Below are 18,955 nucleotides of genomic sequence, written 5' to 3' on the forward strand. Positions count from 1 at the left end.
GTTTCCAGCAACCCTCATTGTTGACTGATGATTCTTCTTTTTTGAGACGGAGTCTCACTCTGTCCTCCGGGCTGGAGTGCAGTGGTGTGACCTCAGCTCACTGCAACCTCTGCCTCCCAGGTTCAAGCGATTCTCTTGTCTCAGCCTGGGACTGAGCTGGGACTACAGGCGCCCGCTAATGCCCAGCTAATTTTTGTATTTTTGGTAGAGACGGGATTTCACCGTGTTGGCCAGGCTGGTCTTGAACACCTGACCTCAGATAATCCTCCTGCCTCGGCCTTCCAAATTGCTGGGATTACAGGCATGAGCCACTGAGCCCGGCCAGCTGATGATCCTTATGGAGAAAATGATAATACAAGCTAATACAGGGGATTGGTTCTGCAACCCCCGCATATACCAAAATGCTCACATACTCAAGTTCAAAGTCAGCCCTGTGGAACCCAAGTATACAAAGAGTCAGTCCTTCATATACATGGGTTTTGCATCCTGAGAATACTTTATTTTCAATCTGCATTTGTTTGGAAAAAGCAAACCCTAGCAGTTCAAACTCATGTTATTAAAGGGTCAACTGTATTTTAATTCTCACTGGAAACCTGCGGTGTTGGTATTATTTTCATACACATCATGTCAGGAAACTGAAGTACAAAGAGGTGAGGCTACCAGCCTTGGGTCACTCAGCTAGTAAGTCCAGTGAGTGGTGTTGATGCAGTTCAGAACTTGCGTGAGGTCTGATTGTGCGGTCTCTTGGAAAGGCAGCAAGCTGCTCAGAGCCATGTGTGAGTCTGTTGGTAGAATGTCTTTCAAACTCTTCTCTCTTGTAGTCTTCCTAGTTCGTCAGTTACACTTAGAGGTAGATATCCATTAAAATTCTTACCAGCTGGTATACATTTCTCTGTTCTGATGGAAACTTGTATAGTCAGGTGATAAAGGCATTACAACGGTACCAAGTCAGCATCGCTCCACTCAAAAGAAATTTTTTAAATGTCCGTGCTGGCAGCGGACAAGGATGAATGATTAAAAAATAAATAAAATCAAAGCCATGGCTTTGATGAGTTTTCTGTATCTTTCTCCACAGTATACTTGGCCACCCCCGCAGCCAGCTGCTGGAGGTGCTGGTTCAATAAATGTAATGGGAGCAATCTCACTCTATTACTTTTAAATTAACTTAGTCTATGTGGCCATCCCTGTCCGTGGCTCCTTCTTGGGGAGGAGGACTGCACCGTATTGATTCAGGTGATGGATGGGAATATTAAACGTTCCAAGGCGGGACAGGAGTCCTACAGTGGGGACTCCACCAAGACAGACCTCCAGGCCTCTGAGCAAGTTAGCTCTGCTAGATCAGGGAATGGCAAAACCCTCCAGTAAATTTAAAGTTAAAATCTGAACACCGAGTCTCTGTTTGGGGCTTGAAAATGGCACTGTTTTCAGACTCTGAATTTGGAGACCATTTTCTCTTCCCCAAGTAAAAGCCAGAGCTAGAAGAAAGTAACATGAATTCATGGTCATCAGGCAGGGCTGATATTTCAAAAACCTCAGCATCACCTGGAAATGGGAATAGCACTGTCAAATGTAAAAGCCAATCAGAAAGGTTGCAGTTCAACTTTCTTGCCCTGAAAAATGAATGGGGTGGGTTGGGGTGAGAAGGTGTGAATAATCTTCCGGGACATTTCAGAGTAGTTCTAACAATAATGCATTAAAGTGTCAGTAGATGAAATGATTAATTGAATTTGCCTTCATTTTTCTCATTTATTTGCTTTTGGTCCTGTCTTCACTATCTCCTATTTAAGAAATACAAGTATTCCTGTTCAGCTCAGTCCCTAGCCCTGTCTCTGAAGTCCTTTATTATTGCAAAGTGACATATGTGAAACCTTGCCACTGACATTCATAGACTTATAATCCTACTCCTTCAATTGCTTTATTAATGCTTTGGCTTTCAGCATAAAAGCAAGCACATTGGAAACCACGGAAAATTTCTGATTATGACAGTGACATTTATCATTCTCTAATGGAGGAGCTGTAGCTTCTAGGTGGAAAGTTGGCGAGTGCATCCAATGCACAATTTCCTTGTTTTAAATGCAGTCTTTGTTGAGAGGAGCTGTTCTCCCAGATGCTGGATAATACCTAAGCCTTACATGGTTGTAGGCCTATGTCCAGCAATTGGTGGGAGCACTGTTAATTTTTAACTGTAGGTTTTATGGGTGAAGAATTGATGTCGCATTAATTCAGGGATGTATTCAACATATTACCAAGTGCTTTCTATGTGCCAGACAGTGCTCTGTGCATTTGGAATGTGTCAGTGACCAAAAAAAAAAAAAAAAATCCTGCCACTGTGGAGCTTCTATTCTAGCAAGGGGTAGACAGATACAAAAACATCATAAATAATTGCATATGTTAGAAGGTGAGAAGTACTTTGGAAAAATACAGCATAGGTTAAGGGAAATAAGCTGAGCCAGAGTTTTGTTGGGGGTTGTGGGTTACAGCTTAATAGGCCTTAATAGGCCTTGAAGGAGGTGACTCTGGTTTGGAATATCTCAGAACTGCATAAGGAATTCCAGATGATGTGATAAAAAAGAAATCCATATTGAAGAATATGAAGTCCTGGGTTATTGCAAACTGAAAATGCATTCCTCTTTTTCTTCCCAGCTTCTGAATCCTCTTTTCTTCTGTCCAAGTCCTGGCATTATTTGGGAGCAGTGGCCACCTCTCCTGCCACTCCACACTGTAATGAGAATTGGATGAGAGAGTGCAGAATGTGACATTTGTGTGTGATGCTTATGGTTTGTCATGAAATCCACTCAAGAGTTAAACAAGTCAAGGGTGTTAGCTTTAGGCATGCTTTTGCCTCACATTTATTGGTGTTTAGTATGATTCACTGACCTGAATCAGTTCTAATGGTACACTTAGATATGCAACTTCTTGGGAAGGAAAAAGACAAAAATGTCCCTAGTGCAATTTTATTGAGATTTTGGTCCAAAAGGAAGCAGTGTAAATAAACAGCAAAAAAAGCCATAGCTAAGGTAATGTGCTTCAAAACAAGCTAGAAGACAAATGCTAGGTAATTCGTACCATCCTCTGATTAAATGGCCATGAGCAAATCATCGGGCCCTCCAGGGCACACTCCATTCCTCTTTGTTGTGGCTGTGGGATGACACATCTGTGCACAGCTCTGCACTCAGAAAACTCAGGCTCGTTTGCCACCACTTCCCTACCTCCCTCAGTGCTGCACGTGCGCGCGCGCACGCACACACACACACACACACACACACAGTGTTCCCTGATGTACAAAAGCCACTAATAGTAATTATTTAATGATAATAATCTTTGCTTGCATTATCTAATCTCCCAATGGCTTTATCAGAGAAGTACTCATTTTATCCCTAGTTTACAGATTTGGAACCTGGAGCTAGGAGTGGTTAACTTACTGATGCCCAGCACACACAGCTAGTTCAGTGATAGGGTTAGGGTGGCTGGCCCCATAGGTCATATAAGGATACATTTGCTCATATGGAAACAAGTTATTTTTATTGACATGGTGCCAGATCACCAGGTTGGTGGAACTTGTCTCTTGATGTCATACTTCCTGATTGTCTCAATTGATGTCTCCAATCCTCATTTCTTACCTTTAATCTACCTCTCCCTGCCCCTGTGTTCTTTGCATTATAGGATGTTTAGCAGCATCCCGGACCTCTAGCCAACAGATGCCAGTAGCAGGTAGCAGCCCCCTATAAGTTGTGACAATTGGAATATCTGCAGGCATTAGCAAATATCCCTTGGGGGGGCAAAATCGTCTCCATTTGAGAACTTCTGGTCCAGATGTTCAGGTTACATGGACCTACTCTTGTGTGCCAAAATCCAACTCTTCATCAATAGTCAAATTTCAAATCCATCTAGGAACTGTTTGGCTGTGGCTGAGTGTATTAATCTGCTCCTACTGCCATGACAACATACTGTAGACTAGATGGCTTAAATAAGAAATTAATTTCTCAGTTCTGAGGTGAGGGCTGGAAAGGCCCAGGTCAAAATGCAGGCAAGGTTTCATTAGGTCTCGCCTCTTATTTGTGCATTCCTGGGGAGACAGCAAGTTCTTTGCTGTCTCTTCTTATAAAGGTGCTAATCCCATCATGAGGGCCCCACTGTCATGACCTCATCTAACCCTAATTACTTCCCAAAGGTCTCATCTTCAAATATCATCACACTGAGAAGTAGGGCTTCAATCTACGAATTTCAGGGGAGTAGGGGTGGGCAAACATTTAGTCCTTAACACTGAGCCTTGATATGTTGGAAGGACATCCAGAAGGAGTGTCAAGTCAAATAGGCCAGAGCTGGTTCATGTCCCAGCTCTATTATTTGGACAAGTTACTTAACCTTTCTTTGCCTATTTTCTGACCTACTAAATAGGGATAAAACTAGTTTGGTCTAGGGTTTTGGAAATTAAATGAAATGATTGATCCCAAGATGTGTAATTTTTATCAGGAAACTAATTTTTGTTCTTTTTGTTTGCACAATCTCTCCCTAAGTTGGTAATGCAGGCCCACCTTCAAAGTTGGAAAATCATAGTAAAATGAGAGTTTGTAGCTCCTGGTGTGGTCTTTGCAGAGCATTCGATTAAGCATATCATTGCTTATCTAATGAATAGTTATGCTTTTTTCTTTATTTTTATTTTTATTTTTTTGGAGACAGGGTCTTGCTCTGTCACCCAGGTTGGAGTGCAGTGGTGTAATCTTGGCTCACTGCCGCCTCAACCTCCCAGGCTCAAGCTATCCTCCCACCTCAGACTCTCCAGTAGCTGGGGCCATAGGCCCATGCCACCACACTCAGCTAATTTTTATATTTTTGTAGAGAGAGGGTTTTGGCATGTTGCCTAGGCTGGTCTTGACTCCTGGGCTGAAGTAATCTTCCTGACTTGGCCTTCCAAAGTGCTGGGATTACAGGTGTCAGACACCTTGCCCGGCCATGCTTTGTTTCTTAATGACCGCAGTTGTTACAGCCCACCCAAATGAGCCTATGTACATATATGGAGATATATATAGAGAGATTTTTTTTTTCCAACTTCCTCTATTTTTTAATTTATTTTAACTTCAGGAGTACATGTGCAGGCTTGTTATATAGCTAAACTTGGATCATGGTAGTCTGTTGTATATTTAGTCACCCAGGTATTAAGCCTAGTACTCATTAGTTATTTTTCCTGATCGGAGAGAGATTTATTTTTTGAGACAGAGTGTTGCTCTGTTACCCAGGCTGAAGTGCAGTGGCATGATCTCAGTTCACTGCAACTTCCGCCTCCCAGGTTCAGGCAATTCTCTTGCTTCAGCCTCCTGAGTAGCTGGAACTACAGGCACATGCCACCATGCCTGACTAATTTTTGTATTTTTAGTAGGGACGGGGTTTCACTGTGTTGGCTAGGCTGCTCTTGAACTCCTGACGTTAAGTGATCTGCCTGCCTTGGCCTCCCAAAGTGCTAGGATTATAAGCGTGAGCCACCACCCCTAGCCAAGAGTTATGGTTTTTTTTTTTGGTTTTGTTTTTGTTTTTTTTTTTAAAGAGAAGTGTTGTATGTCTACTCTTCTAACACGTATATACAACTTAAGTTAAAAAAAATTTTTTTAAGCTAGTAAGAAATTTCTGGGAAGTCCTTACCATCTCTGGTAAGAAGTGTTTTCATGCAACAGGGGGAAAAAATATCTTTTTTTCTAATAAAACTGTGGAAACAAGATGAGTAATTACTACACGAAAGCACAGAATGTTTTCCAAATATTGTGATGGGTGTTTATTCTACATTTTTCTTCTCTCAAGGCCAGTCATGGGCTTGTACAGAAATATGAACTTCAGTTCTCAATTATTGGTAGATCTGAAGGGAGTCTATGTACAGAACTATTGTTTACCATCCCGAGAAGTTAATTTCATAGATAGATCATTTAAACAAATATGACCGTGTTTTAAATTTGATTTAAGAATGCATTTGGGGTGATTAGCGATGTAGCGACTCCTGCAGCTGGTGAGCCTTAAATACGCTTTATAAAGATTCCTGTCCGTTGCCAGCACAGCTGTAAACACTTGGCGCCTTTGCTTTGTAACAGTTACAGCACTTGCCTTTTTTCCCCCAGCCACAGAGCAGTGCTAATCATTAAGTATGTTTAATAAAAAATATCTTCTCAGCCTCCAAGTGACTCTCTGTTAAATATTTTAAAAACTTATCCCACTTAGTGAGACATTCTTGACATTAAATAGATTTAATAAGAAATTGTTAGTTTCTGATGGTTTTCAGTGTTAAGTATTTTTTATAGGTAGTTACTTTTCCAGCCGACAACCAGCTCTAAGTCTTTAATATTTAAAATGTTGCTTTTATAGCTGCGTCCTGCATCTGTGTATAAAATATAGCATGAGCGTTGCCTCTAAATTTTGAAAGACTCCTCCTAATGAACATAAGAAGAAAGCATTTTCATTTTCTAAGCATATTTATATTTCACATACCAAAGTACATTCCAAGTTTCACAAATTGGAGACAATTTCTGCCCAAATATCAGTTTTAACATCTTGTAAGATGCCAGTAACAAAGGCACACTTGAAATGTACTTATCTGGCAGTGAGCACCTATGGGAAAATGTGCTGTGGGTAATGATGAAGACATGTAATGTTGTGTTCCACTGAAGCTCTCTAAGACAGTACAGAAAATTTCGACTGTCTTCAAAGAGTTTATTCGAAGTTGCACGTGAGTCCAGTTTTATTTTTTAAGACAGAGTCTTACTCTGTTACCAGACTGGAGTGCAGTGGTGCAATCTCAGCTCACTACAGCCTCCACCTCCAGGGTTCAAGCGATTCTCCTGCCTCAGCCTCCCACGTAGCTGGTACTACAGGCATGCGCCACCACGCCCAGCTAATTTTTTGTATTTTCAGTAGAGTTGGGATTTCAACATGTTGGCCAGGATGTTGACCTCATGATCCGTCCGCCTTGGCCTTCCAGAGTGCTTGGATTACAGGTGTGAGCCACCGTGCCCAGCCGAGTCCAGCTTTTAAGTGGAAAATAGAGCACCGGAGTATAGGAGCTTGTCAGAGCCTGGTCAGGGACATCGGGGCTAGCTGTGAACACACTTTGATTTCTATTTTGAGCCTGGGTGTGGCCTCTGCATATATAGAGGAGTTTCAGCAGTTTTGCCATCTTTGGGTGACTGACTTAGGCTATGCACTGGAGGCAACATGGGAGACAGACATAGAGGTCAAGCCCCTGGGATGCAGATGAACAGACCAAACTTTGAGTCCTGGCTCTGCCCACTTTTCTTTGTGAATCTGAGTCAAGACTTCACCATTCAGTGTCTCTGTCTCTTCCTCTGTAAAATGTGGGTAGTAATACCTGATGCTTGTGGTGGTTGTGAGAATTAAAGGAGTTGATACATACTCAAGTTTTCTATTCTCGGCACTTACAATATATTCAGTGTTCATTGAACATTTACATTTACTCTATTTTGTGTGTGTGTAATTGACTAGCAGAGTAAATTCTTTGCAGCCATGCTTCAGAGAAGGATTGACTTGGAGACTTAGAAGCCTTTTCGGATGCCAAATTTGATAAATCCAGGAGACAGAACGTTGTTTCTTACCTCGTAGTACTTGAAGAATACTGGCATCTTTTTTCATGGGTGAGCAGATTGTTGTCAAAAGGTTGAGATGATACCATCCAAGAATTCTAGAAACACACAAGACAAGACTTTTAGTCTGAAATTAACAAAGGATTGAGCATGTCCTTGAATGTCTCCTTTTTTGTAATGTGAGGAAATTCTGCCGAACCTCTGCCTTCACATACAACCTTCCACTCCTAATTCTGAATTTTAGATTTCTCCCATTGTGCTTAGAGATCACCTTTTGGCCTCTTCACAACCCCTGCCCCCTTCCACATCTGATATTGTGGGAGATTATACAGGATTCAAGTGGTGACTAAAAGGAACTTCTCATTTCCACCTGCAAAATCTTCTATTAGATGTCATATACCGAGATATGACGGTGGTAATGATCATTGTGATGGTGGTGATGGAGATGACAGTCATAGTGATGATGGTGCAGATATGGACTTTGATGATGGTGATGGGGGTGGTTGTGGTGATGATAGTGACTATAATGCTGGTGGCTTCCTTGTACTGACTATGACCATGTGACTCACACAGTGCTGAGTGCTGTGCCTGCATTATCTCATTTAACCTTCATCGCCTCTTAATTCTGCATCATAATCATCCTTGTTTAATGAATGATTAAGCATCCGTTAAACACCCAGGCTTTAGTTTACCCAGGATTATACCCAGGGAATGGGGAAGTGAGGTCAGAACCCAGACCTGCCTCACCTCTTAACTGCTTTGCATGTTGCCTCTCAGAGGGTCACAGAAAATCTTGCACTGCTGGCACGCCAGTTGCTTCTGGGGCTCTAGGATTTGGGGCAAGCTCAGAGATGCACAAGTATAACCTGGAGCTTCCACACCAGTTATGGAGTCAGAGATGTGAACAGTAGTATTTCCAGCCTTGCCCTGGCCTGTCATAAAGCCATGCCCAGCGACAGGTATGGAATAAACCTGGGCTTCACCAGTAGGATCCAAGTGACCCTGTGCCTTTGGAGTAAGTCCCTGGGTGTCCCAGTGTCCATATTTTAAAGACCAGATATTTCTACAGCGTGTCTTTGTTATGCCAAAACCCCTTCTGAATTTAGATTTTCTGATCTTCTGACAGACTTATTTCAGGTATTACTCATCTCTGATTCCAGGTCTCACCTTTTCTTTCTGTATCATGAATTTTTAAGCATGGTGTTCTTTTGCCTGAAATTTTCTTCCTCCCGCACCGCCACCCTGCATGACCATTTGATATTGTCTCTTTTCCTTTGGGTCTCAGCTTAGCTGCTTCATCCTAGAAGGCTTCAGGGTCTCCTCCAACCTCCACTCCAGTTCCTCTACTAGGTGTTCCTGTGGCAGCTTCTCCTTTCATAGCTTCTATAATTCTGTGCTGTAAGTGCTTGCTTTCTCAGTTGTCTTTCTTGTGAGACTTTGAGATGCTAACCCTTTAGGCCCTACGAATCCCTGTGTGCTCAGCATTTGGGTGTTCAGTAAAGATTAATTCCCTGCTTGAATGAATTCATTGAATTCATGTCATGTTTGTGTCCTAGAAACACATCAAGGAGCACAGGATAGGAATTAGGGTTGTGACCTTTATCCTTTGACCCACATCTTAAAAAGGGTCAAATCTTTTACTTACGTACAATTAAGCACACGTAGTAAAAATAAATTTCCAACTGGAAGGTACTCTTTAGGGTACAATTTTTTTTATTAAGTGACGTGTCAAGATTATTGGGCTAAGTTGGGGTAAGTTCATCAGTTTAAAATTTTCATTTTTAACAGACAGAAGGCATGAGAAAGGCAAAACTCATTTTCCTGTGCTGTTTAATTCGATCACATAAAATTATCTCAACAAATACAAAGAAGCCCAATATGTTTTTCCACTAGGTTTCTATATTTATCTTGTAGAATCAACTCTATAGATACACCTTTAGTGCTTTGTTCTCTAAAACATAATTTTGTTTATTTTCATATCCTATTTTCTCTTTCCAGCTGCACACATCAAGACTTTTTAAATCAACATTCAATTATCACTAAATGACTTTTCTGCCTATTTCAGAATGATTTTAATGTGGTCATGTTTATTTTATTAAAGAATTTTTATATCTGCCTTGGGATAATGCAATTAGAATTCTTTTTACCTTTATGCGATCAGTTTAGAGCCCTTCTCATAAGAGAATAAACAAAGATAATAAGAAGGCAATATTTTTATTTTAAAAGGGCAGATAAAATATCCTCTGTTGCAAAAGGTCTCTTTTGGCTCTTTGTTGAATATGCGGCAATTCAGAGAAATAGATCATATACTTCGAAGTTAGGTCATCTTGGTTTTAGGTATAGAAGAACAAGCTTTGGTCGTGAATTTAAGGTTTGTTTGTTTGTTTGCTTGTTTTTACTTCTGCCAGGTTTATGATTGTTAAAGGATAGACTCTTGAGTTCCTAAACAGTAGAAAACACAACCCTTGTCTAAGGGGTGGTATAATCTAGTCAATTCGGAAGAAAATACGTGAATGAAGAAACAAAGTTGTCGGTGGAAGAAAGTTTTGAAATCCATTAGAAAACAGGACAGCTTATCAATATCATAGGGGCCTAGTGCAGATAGTTGGCATGTACAGGGAGCTAGAAGCAACATGAAAGACTGTGGTGAAAATTTTCAATTTTCTCTGTAGGGTATTTGGAGGATAATTTTTGCTCCCAATGATAATGGAGTCAGCACCCTCTTTGGAGCCATGAACACTCTCTCTTAACTTCTTCTCAGAACCTTTCCTGTATACTGCCACAATCTCAAATGCTTGGCATTAGCCAGAGGCTGGAGTGCAGGAATCTGATGAAGAGTGCCGCTTCTTAGCCTTGGCCTTTACTAACTGAGCACTACTGAGCAAGTCACTTAACCTCTCTCTGCTCAGTTTCTCTATTTTGAAAATGGCTCTTGGCCGGGTGTGGTGGCTCACGCCTGTAATCCCAGCACTTTGGGAGGCTGAGGCGGGCGGATCATCTGAGGTCAGAAGTTCAAGACAAGCCTGACCAATATGGTGAAACCCCGTCTCTACTAAAAATACAAAAATTAGCCGGGCATGGTGGCACATGCCTGTAGTCCCAGCTACTCAGGAGGCTGAGGCAGGAGAATCACTTGAACCCAGGAGACAGAGGTTGCAGTTAGCTGAGATCATGCCACTGCACTCCAGCCTGGGTGACAGAGCCAGACTGTATCTCAAAAAAAAAAGGAAAAAAAATGGCTAAGGAATGCTTACCTCATGAGATTATTTTAAGATTAAATGAGCTATTGTATTTAAAGCATTTAATACACACAGTAACTACTCCTGAAATCTTAGCTGTGGCTATTAATAAAAATAAAAATAATCAATAACATATTGTGCAGCCATATTGTCATTATTATTAATATCCTTCTAATCTCAGATACGTCATTGCCCAGCCCAAATGCCAGCTCTTCCATTAAGCTTCCTCTTTTCACCCATTGGAATTAATTACCCTTCTGTATTCTTATTTACTTTGTCCTGTATGTTTATTATAGCCCTTAATACTTGATGGATTTTATTATGTATGTCCTGGAAACTTGGGAGCATTCCTTACCCATCCTTTTAATCAAGACTGAGCATAGTAATTATTTTAAATTAAATAGCATTGTGGTGGAGGAGAGGACAAAAGAGTGTGACCCGGATGAGTGTTTTAATTTGCATTCATTGTAAGAATGGGGAAGGGGTGTTGGTGTGGGGTGAGGGCAGCCATTTCATGAAACTCATAGTAGTTGTCTCAGAATGCTACCTTGTCTTAGCTTTGCAATTGAAAGGTAGCTTAGATGTCCATTGTTGCTTTTCAGATGATGCAAACCGTCTTAGGTTGAATATTCGCTGTTCAATTCAGGAAGAAGTTTCCCCAGATGGAAAGCCTTGAATTATTTATGCAGTGTTTATCTCTGAGTTTACTTCCCATCACAACCAATTAAGGCTATTTGGTTTCATTAAAAATAGCATTTTCTCATTTGGGAAAACATTTATCTGAAGGAAATTTAAATTTACCCACTTGGAGGCTACAAAGCTGGTGTCGAGTTAGCTGTACCGCCCTTAGCCAAGAAACAGAGAAGGAAACAAATGCAGTTTTCTCCTCGCTGTACATTTTTTCCCCTTTTAGTTCTTTAACAGACATGAACTGTGTAGAGTCAAACCTCATTTTGTCCAGCTCTTAGATTTAAATCTCTGCAAATCAGAAGCTTATAAATGGCACAGGGAAGTAGATCTTATTGCCCTCAATGCTGCTGTTTTCTGTACCTGTCAAATGTCCTTAGTAATTTGTTAAAATAGTTTAATATACATAGAATGGTAACAGTCACCAGTGCCAGTCATTACCTTGAATAAAATGTGTTAGGTCTTCTCTTAACAGGTCATGACCTGAACACAAGGTTCTGAGCATCCCCTTCCCACTAATTCTGATGGTATGCCATTGAAAATGGCACTCAAGCTTTATCTTTTGTAATGCAAGCTTTGCATTAATTCATAAACATATTTGAAGTGAGACTAGTTATCTTTGCATGGGCAAAGGTGAGGCAAAGTGATAGGGCCAGACAGAACCCAGTGACCATTCAGCCAGGATGTCTCAATGACAGTGCTCCAGCAGGGGCATCATGATCTAGATTCATCTATAGGAGGTGGTTGATCTCTCCAAGATGTGTTCTGTCCCTTCTCTTCCCCCTGTGAGGTGGTCGCACAAAGCACCATTCCCCTCTCTTGGTTGTTATGTGAGGGCTGTGACTGTCAAACTTTGGGATGCTCTAGTTACCTTACTAGGGCACCCTCTCCCCACTATACATCTTCCACAGAAGGCCAGTTATAACCTGTTAGGCAAGAATGGAATTGGAGGAACACTGAAATGGCATGATGTTGATGATTTGATTGGTGGTATCAGTTCATTTCCCCCAGAGCGTATCCTTGCATTTTCTCATCCACTCCATCCATTCATGCTTTGAAGTTACGTGTGTGGGGATGGACCCTCCAGGATTTCTTCTGTTTTTCTCCCTTCTGTGTGACTGTCTATCTTTCATTGACCTTTTCTTTCTTTAGAGAGGTCAATAGCAGTATATAATGGAGGAATAACAAGTACCTTATGTATACACTTCCTGAGCCTGTGCCAAACCTCACTAACTGATCATAGAATTTTTTCCCAAGTCTGATAGGGCTTCTTAATCCTTCTCAAAGAAGGGAGCCAAGCAGCCACCACCAATTAGTCATCATTGGCATGCTTGCTGCCTTCATTTTATTTCAAAGTCTTTCTTTCCTGCATTTAGTCTGGGGGACTTACTGTCTCTCATCATTAGGTGCTGATTTTTTTTTTAAATCAGACTTTAAGAATTCATGTATCACCTACTCTTTGAACTAGTCCCAAACAAAGATTTTTGTATTGAAAAAGCCTTTGAGAAGACATCCTTAAGTTTAAAGGTAGATGTTTGTTATTTATCTGGATTGTTTTGACTGTTGTTATGTGGAAAGATGTTTTAGACCTGCAGTATGCGTGGAGAAAAGTATGCTAGTAACAACTACTACCATTTATGGGGCACTTACAGGATGCAAGACTGTGCACTGAGCTAATTATGAACATTATGCCGTTCTCTCAATGTGCTAAGCAGGTAATATTACCATCCTGTATTATGGAAGATACAAGTGGGGCTTAGAGAGGGTAATTTGCCCATGGGTATTAGTGCAGAGCAATAAGTGGAACCCAGAATTAGAACCCACATTTTCTAAGTTTGCAAGCTTCATTTCAAATTTCAATCATAGTCTTTCTGGTTAAAACATGCTGTGTGATATAACCCCATTTACTTCAATATTCTTGCCTTATGCTGTATTTGAAAGTAGCTTCTAGAATGCAGGGATTTTTTGGATTCTTTGTTTCACTTGCTGAGCTTCCTATTATTTATTTATTTATTTATTTATTTTTATTGAGATGGAGTCTTGCTCTATCGCCCAGGCTGGAGTGCAGTGGCATGATCTCAGCTCGCTGCAACCTCCGCCTCCCGGGTTCAAGCAATTCTCATGCTTCAGCTTCCCAAGTAGCTGAGACCACAAGCGTGAACCACCACGCCTGGCTAATTTTTTTGTATTTTTAGTAGAGATGGGGTTTCGCCATGTTGGCCAGGTTAGTGTCGATCTCCTGACCTCAGGTGATCTGCCCTCCCCAGCCTCCCAAAGTGCTAGGATTACAGGCGTGAGCCACCATGCCCAGCCCCAGCTTCCTATTATTTAAATTGTATCCTGGAATGCCTTGCTCACTGTTACAGACTTGCATGAAGTTCAAGTTTTATGTAAGTTCTCTAACCCATTCAGCTGTCACCTTATGTAATACGCATTTTCCCCTCTCATTTAATGCTGGATGTCAATGCTGAGCTCCTCAGAGATAGTACATGCCTCAGGATGGTAGGACCCCTTCGTCCTAGATATAAATCATTCCAGCAGGGGCCTTTGAGTTCATAAATGCAATCAGCTTTTCTCTTCCTTTCCTTACCATTCCCTCCCCCAGCCTTTTAAAAACAGATTTCAGGTTTACATTTACAGGATCGCAAAAAAGCCAGCACAGTTATTTAGCTCCAGTCTGCAGTTAAAACAGTGGGATGCATAGCTAATTTCACTCATATTTTTTTAATGTGCATTAGTAACCTGGCGCTCCATTAATTACAATATTTCATATTGGGAAGCTAAACTGGCTTTTCTTGGAAACCTGCTGAAAGTCAGACAATTACCTCTGCAAGCTACCTCTGAGTGTTTCGTATTTAATAGAACATGTTAACATAATAATGCTGTTTTATGGAGAAGAGAGGATGAATTTTGTACTGATAATAAAAAGCCCACTTAAAAAAAGAAGAAAGAAAACAAGGAGGTAATGAATGTTGCTCTTTCCTAGAATTAGAGAAAATATATCCACATGAGGCAGTGTCTACACAAGCCAAAAACAGGTCCAGGTGGATAATGGGTATTGTAACCTGCTTGCTTGACAGTTTATAACTTTCCTCCTACTTGCTGTTGAGTCTTTGGGGTGGAAGAAAATACAGAACAGTTTAGAGTATATCCTTATTTCTCCCAAGATAGGTATTTTGTGACCTCTAAGTATAGACAAAATGGATAGAAAGTAAATCCTTCTGTCTGGGCAGTGGAAAACTGCAATCGCTATGTGTACCTTTACCTCTTGTAAAATCAGGATGTAGGAAAACATTGTAGGGTTATCCACCAGAAGGGCAACCTTTTTTATATAAACTTATCTCTTCTTACTACCTTTTTAATCTATCTCCCAGTTGTTTTCAGTGCCTGGGAGTCCCCATGAACACTTGTATACGGAGATTGGAGTAAATGGTGCTATTAGCAGACTATTGTCTTCAGAAAATCCTAGTGGTCCTTTATTCTCTATCTAGAATCATACAAGTTTCCTGCATTACATAATTGCTGTGTCATCACATTTCATTTGATCTGTAAAGGTGAACATATTCTTTTTCCCCTCCTGCGAGGAACAAAGCTGGAGAATATGTATAATTCAAAAATTGGTCCAGTGGAGGCACATAACTTTCATTTAATTAAAGGCGCTGAGTAAAGGGAGTTTGAGATAAGCTTGAACAAGTAGACTGCTGCCTGTTTCTCTGACCTTTTCAAAAGGGATACAATATGTAACTGAATATTTTGCGAATGGAGTCAGGAAATATAAAATAGAAGAAATGACTTTGACACAACTTTGAAGTTGATAACCTTGAAATGGAGTAAGAAGGTGAAGATCCTAAAAAGTAAAAACAAAACAAAACAAAAAAAAAAACAGAAGCCGGGGAGAAACGTATCTCATCGTCCCTCTTTTGTATCCTTCAGCTGACTCAGTACTCAAGCTATTCCCTGTCCACTTAAGATCTGTGTAATGCGAGCAGCATGTTCACTGTTTTAAGGTTATACCACAGATTATGCATGCCACTTTTCACTGGTAAAACGGGTTTTAGTTTCTAGGAGTCTCCATTTTCTAATAAGTTAGTGAGATGTTTCGCCATTTGGTATACTGGGTAGAGAAGGATTTATTCAGAAGTAATTTTGAAAATCTTATTCTGTTAAAAATGTCTTTCCCATTTGAAATATTTCATTTGCATTGTGCATATAATGGAAGTTTGCTTTGAATGATGCTCGCTGTTTCATGTAATCAAATGCATCTTTTACTCGGTAACTTTCCAAGTGGTGGATAGGATTTTCATTGTCTTGCACCCAGTATCATCAACTGGAGTGGAATGGCTAGATAAGTCGCAAAAGATGCTGGGTGGTAATTTGTTTTTGAACTTGCATAGGTTCAAATACCATAATATGTTGATGGGAACATTTCTGGGGAAACTTAGACATGTATAATATCTTACGAGTTGTGCAGTACTCACCCTGCGTGGTAGGTCAACGGGAATTCAGAGTAGGGAAGGAAGATATTACTGAGCTGTTGAGCTACATTCTGAAGGACACTAAAACTGCTTGGTTGAAATAAAGTAGTGTTAGGAAGTAATTTTCACGTGGCTTTCTATAGACTTTCTCATACTTCGCTGTTTTTGCTGGACTTTGAAAAACATCAGAAAATGGTGTTAAATTGGAGAAATATTAGAAATAATTGAATGTATGATTAAAGTGACACCAAGGAAATTCTTAAAGCTACCAGTGGACTGGAAAATCAAGCTTGTTGAATATTTTAGTGGATGTTAGCAGTATCAGAAAAAGGATAGTGTCTCTGAGTAGAGAAATTGTTAAAAGAGGTGCAATAGGTAAAACAATACTGTCAATCCATTATATGAAAGAAAATAGGATAAAGAGACTCTTGACTGGTGTGGAGAATAATAGAAATACAGTTACACACCACATAACAATGTTTTGGTGAACAGTGGATCACATATATGACAGTGGTTTCAGAAGATTATATTACTGTATTTTTACTGTACCTGTTCTGTCTAGATATGTTTAGATACCGAAATACTTACCATCATGTTACAGTTGCCTACAGTATTCAATACAGTCATATAGTTTTACAGATTTGTAGCCTAGGAGCAGTAGGCTATACCACATAGCCAAGGTGTATAGCAGGCTATAGCATCTAGGTTTATGTAAGTACACTCTGATGTCTCAGCAACAATGAAATCGCCTAACAGTGCACTTCTCAGAACATATCCCTGTTGTTAAGTGACACTTGACTGTCTAGATTTGAAAGTTGCTTGAGAGATGGCCGAGTGGCCATGTTTTTTAAATAAGGAAGTTGAGAAACAGGGATATCAAGTGCTTGGTACAGTTTTGTTCATTGTATTGTTTTGGTTGTAAACTATCTAATCTATCCCAATCTAGCTGAAGAAAAATGCGAGAATTTAGTGACTAACATAACTGCAAAGTCCAGAGGTATCATTGGTTTCTAGCCATAAAGACAAGGTATCAGGAATCTGTTTTTCTAGTGAGCTCTTGTTTTCCTGGATGACCTTCATTCCCAAGCAAGCTGTCTTCTTGGGGTTACATAAAACAGCTCCATCCTACATCCCTCTAGGTTCAGATTCAATGGAAAAGAGAATACCTTTCTAAATATTTCCGGAAAGTTCTCTATTAATACTCCGACTTTGTTTAAATGGATCACATTTCCATCCCTGTACTCCAAGGTTCTATAGGAAGCTTTTCTTCTAAGGGAAGGAAAAGAATTGTTATCCAAAGGAAATCAGAAGTTGGTTACTAAGTGGCGGTCAAGTCAACAGGTGTCTCTTACAGAGTACAGAAAGCCACTTTCGGGCATAAGTGAGGCATGTCTCCAGGTTTCCTGGTCTACCTCATCAGGCTGCCATTCTTCCCACTGGGACCATTAATCCAACAAATATTTATTGAGTGTCATCCATGAGCAAAATATAGAAAGTAATAAGAGTCTCACTGTCAAATTGATTTCAATTTGGATTGCTCTGGTTACTAATTTCAAAGTCAGTTGCTATGAGCATCATTTGGCACAACTGCCCTGGAACACTGGATCAGCATTTCTGGCATGGGAACCCAGAAATCTGCTCTTTCAGCAAGCCTCCCAGTGACATGATTGTGCAGCAAGGTTGAGGAGCTACTGTGCAAGAAAAGAGTGCTTTGAACATGTGTAAATGTCTTTATAAAAGCCATTTGCAGCTTATTTCTATCGTAGTTGGAGTTTCTCAAAGCTTAGGAGGCATGAAGTACCTAATTTGGAATAATTATATTAAATTCAGATTCCAGGGCCCCCCTTGAGACCTATTCAAATTTCTAATCTTGTTCCTAGGAATCCACATTTTCTTTAATCTACCCAGGTGAATTCTGATACGTGATAAAATTATTCTCCAAAGTGGAATATAAAATGTTGAACCATGGTGGCTCAGAGAAAGGTTTTAGAATACTAGTTTTATGTTTTGTCAATTAAAAGAAAGCTGTGTTAATATTTGATGTATATGTTGCAGCCGGCGCCCTCATGTGGTCTGTGTGCCAGGTGGTTACATGTCTTATTTGGCAGGTATTCAATGGAAAGAATGGGAATACCAGTGTACACAGAAATTCAATTGCTTTCAACATATTGCAATCAACTGCATTTTATATATGCCTATTGTAAGTAAATCTGTGTGTTAATATACCTTTGTAACCAAACCACCTCTCCCAGAATAGACAAATGGCTTAATCAACATGGTCTCTGTCACCCATCTTCTGAGTAAAAAAAGGATCTAATCAGATCTGACATGGAGCTGGGCATGGAAATTATAAATTATTAGGACAGTTTGGTCTATGCTTTTTTGATATATGCTTTTATATATGTCTTCTCTCATTAACCATAAGTCTCATCTGCAATATATTTTGTGAATTATTTCCAAATGTTAAAGATTAGCACGATACTTTAAAATGATGTTTCTTTCATTTTCACCGCATCACTTTTTTTCTTCTTTTGTGATTGTTTTAGGATGAATATATTGTGTTAGTACAGTAATCCAGGTGTGTAGTTTATCGGTAAATAAAATAGTGGGAACTTACCCACCTACACAGAACTTGTACCAGTTGGGTAGTACATGATCTAAAGAAATGCAGTGACCACTGTTCTGTCAAGGCCAGGCATAGCGGCTGATGCCTGTAATCCCAGTGCTTTGGGAAGCCAAGGCAGGAGGATCAGGAGGCCAGGAATTCGAAACCAGCCTGGGCAAGATAGCTGAGATTGCATCTCTACAAAAAAATTTAAAATGTAACCAGGCATGGTGGCATACACCTGTGGTCCCAGCTACTTGGGAGGCTGAGTCAGGAAGATCACCTGAGCCTGGGAGTTCCAGGCTGCAGTGAGCTGTGATTGTACCACTGCACTCCAGCCTGGGTGACAGTGAGAACCTGTCTCTTAAA

General features: G+C 40.3%; 1 protein-coding gene across 7 annotated transcripts in view, besides 1 other annotated feature; it reads left to right on the forward strand.

The window, feature by feature from the left end:
* The window catches only part of PTPRG (protein tyrosine phosphatase receptor type G), a 736,039-nt gene that overhangs the window by 472,172 nt on the left and 244,912 nt on the right, over nucleotides 1-18,955 (forward strand). The gene's annotated exons all lie outside the window — the stretch shown is intronic.
* Nucleotides 7,468-8,667: an enhancer, noted in NCBI's record as "CDK7 strongly-dependent group 2 enhancer chr3:62026884-62028083 (GRCh37/hg19 assembly coordinates)". NCBI's record gives its function as "activates an origin of replication core promoter dependent on BRD2, BRD4, P300/CBP, MED14 and CDK7 cofactors, with strong dependence on CDK7, by STARR-seq in HCT116 cells {active_cell/tissue: HCT116}" and the evidence as "EXISTENCE:reporter gene assay evidence [ECO:0000049][PMID:35650434]".

Source organism: Homo sapiens, chromosome 3, assembly GCF_000001405.40.
Source record: "Homo sapiens chromosome 3, GRCh38.p14 Primary Assembly".
Taxonomy (NCBI): domain Eukaryota; kingdom Metazoa; phylum Chordata; class Mammalia; order Primates; family Hominidae; genus Homo; species Homo sapiens.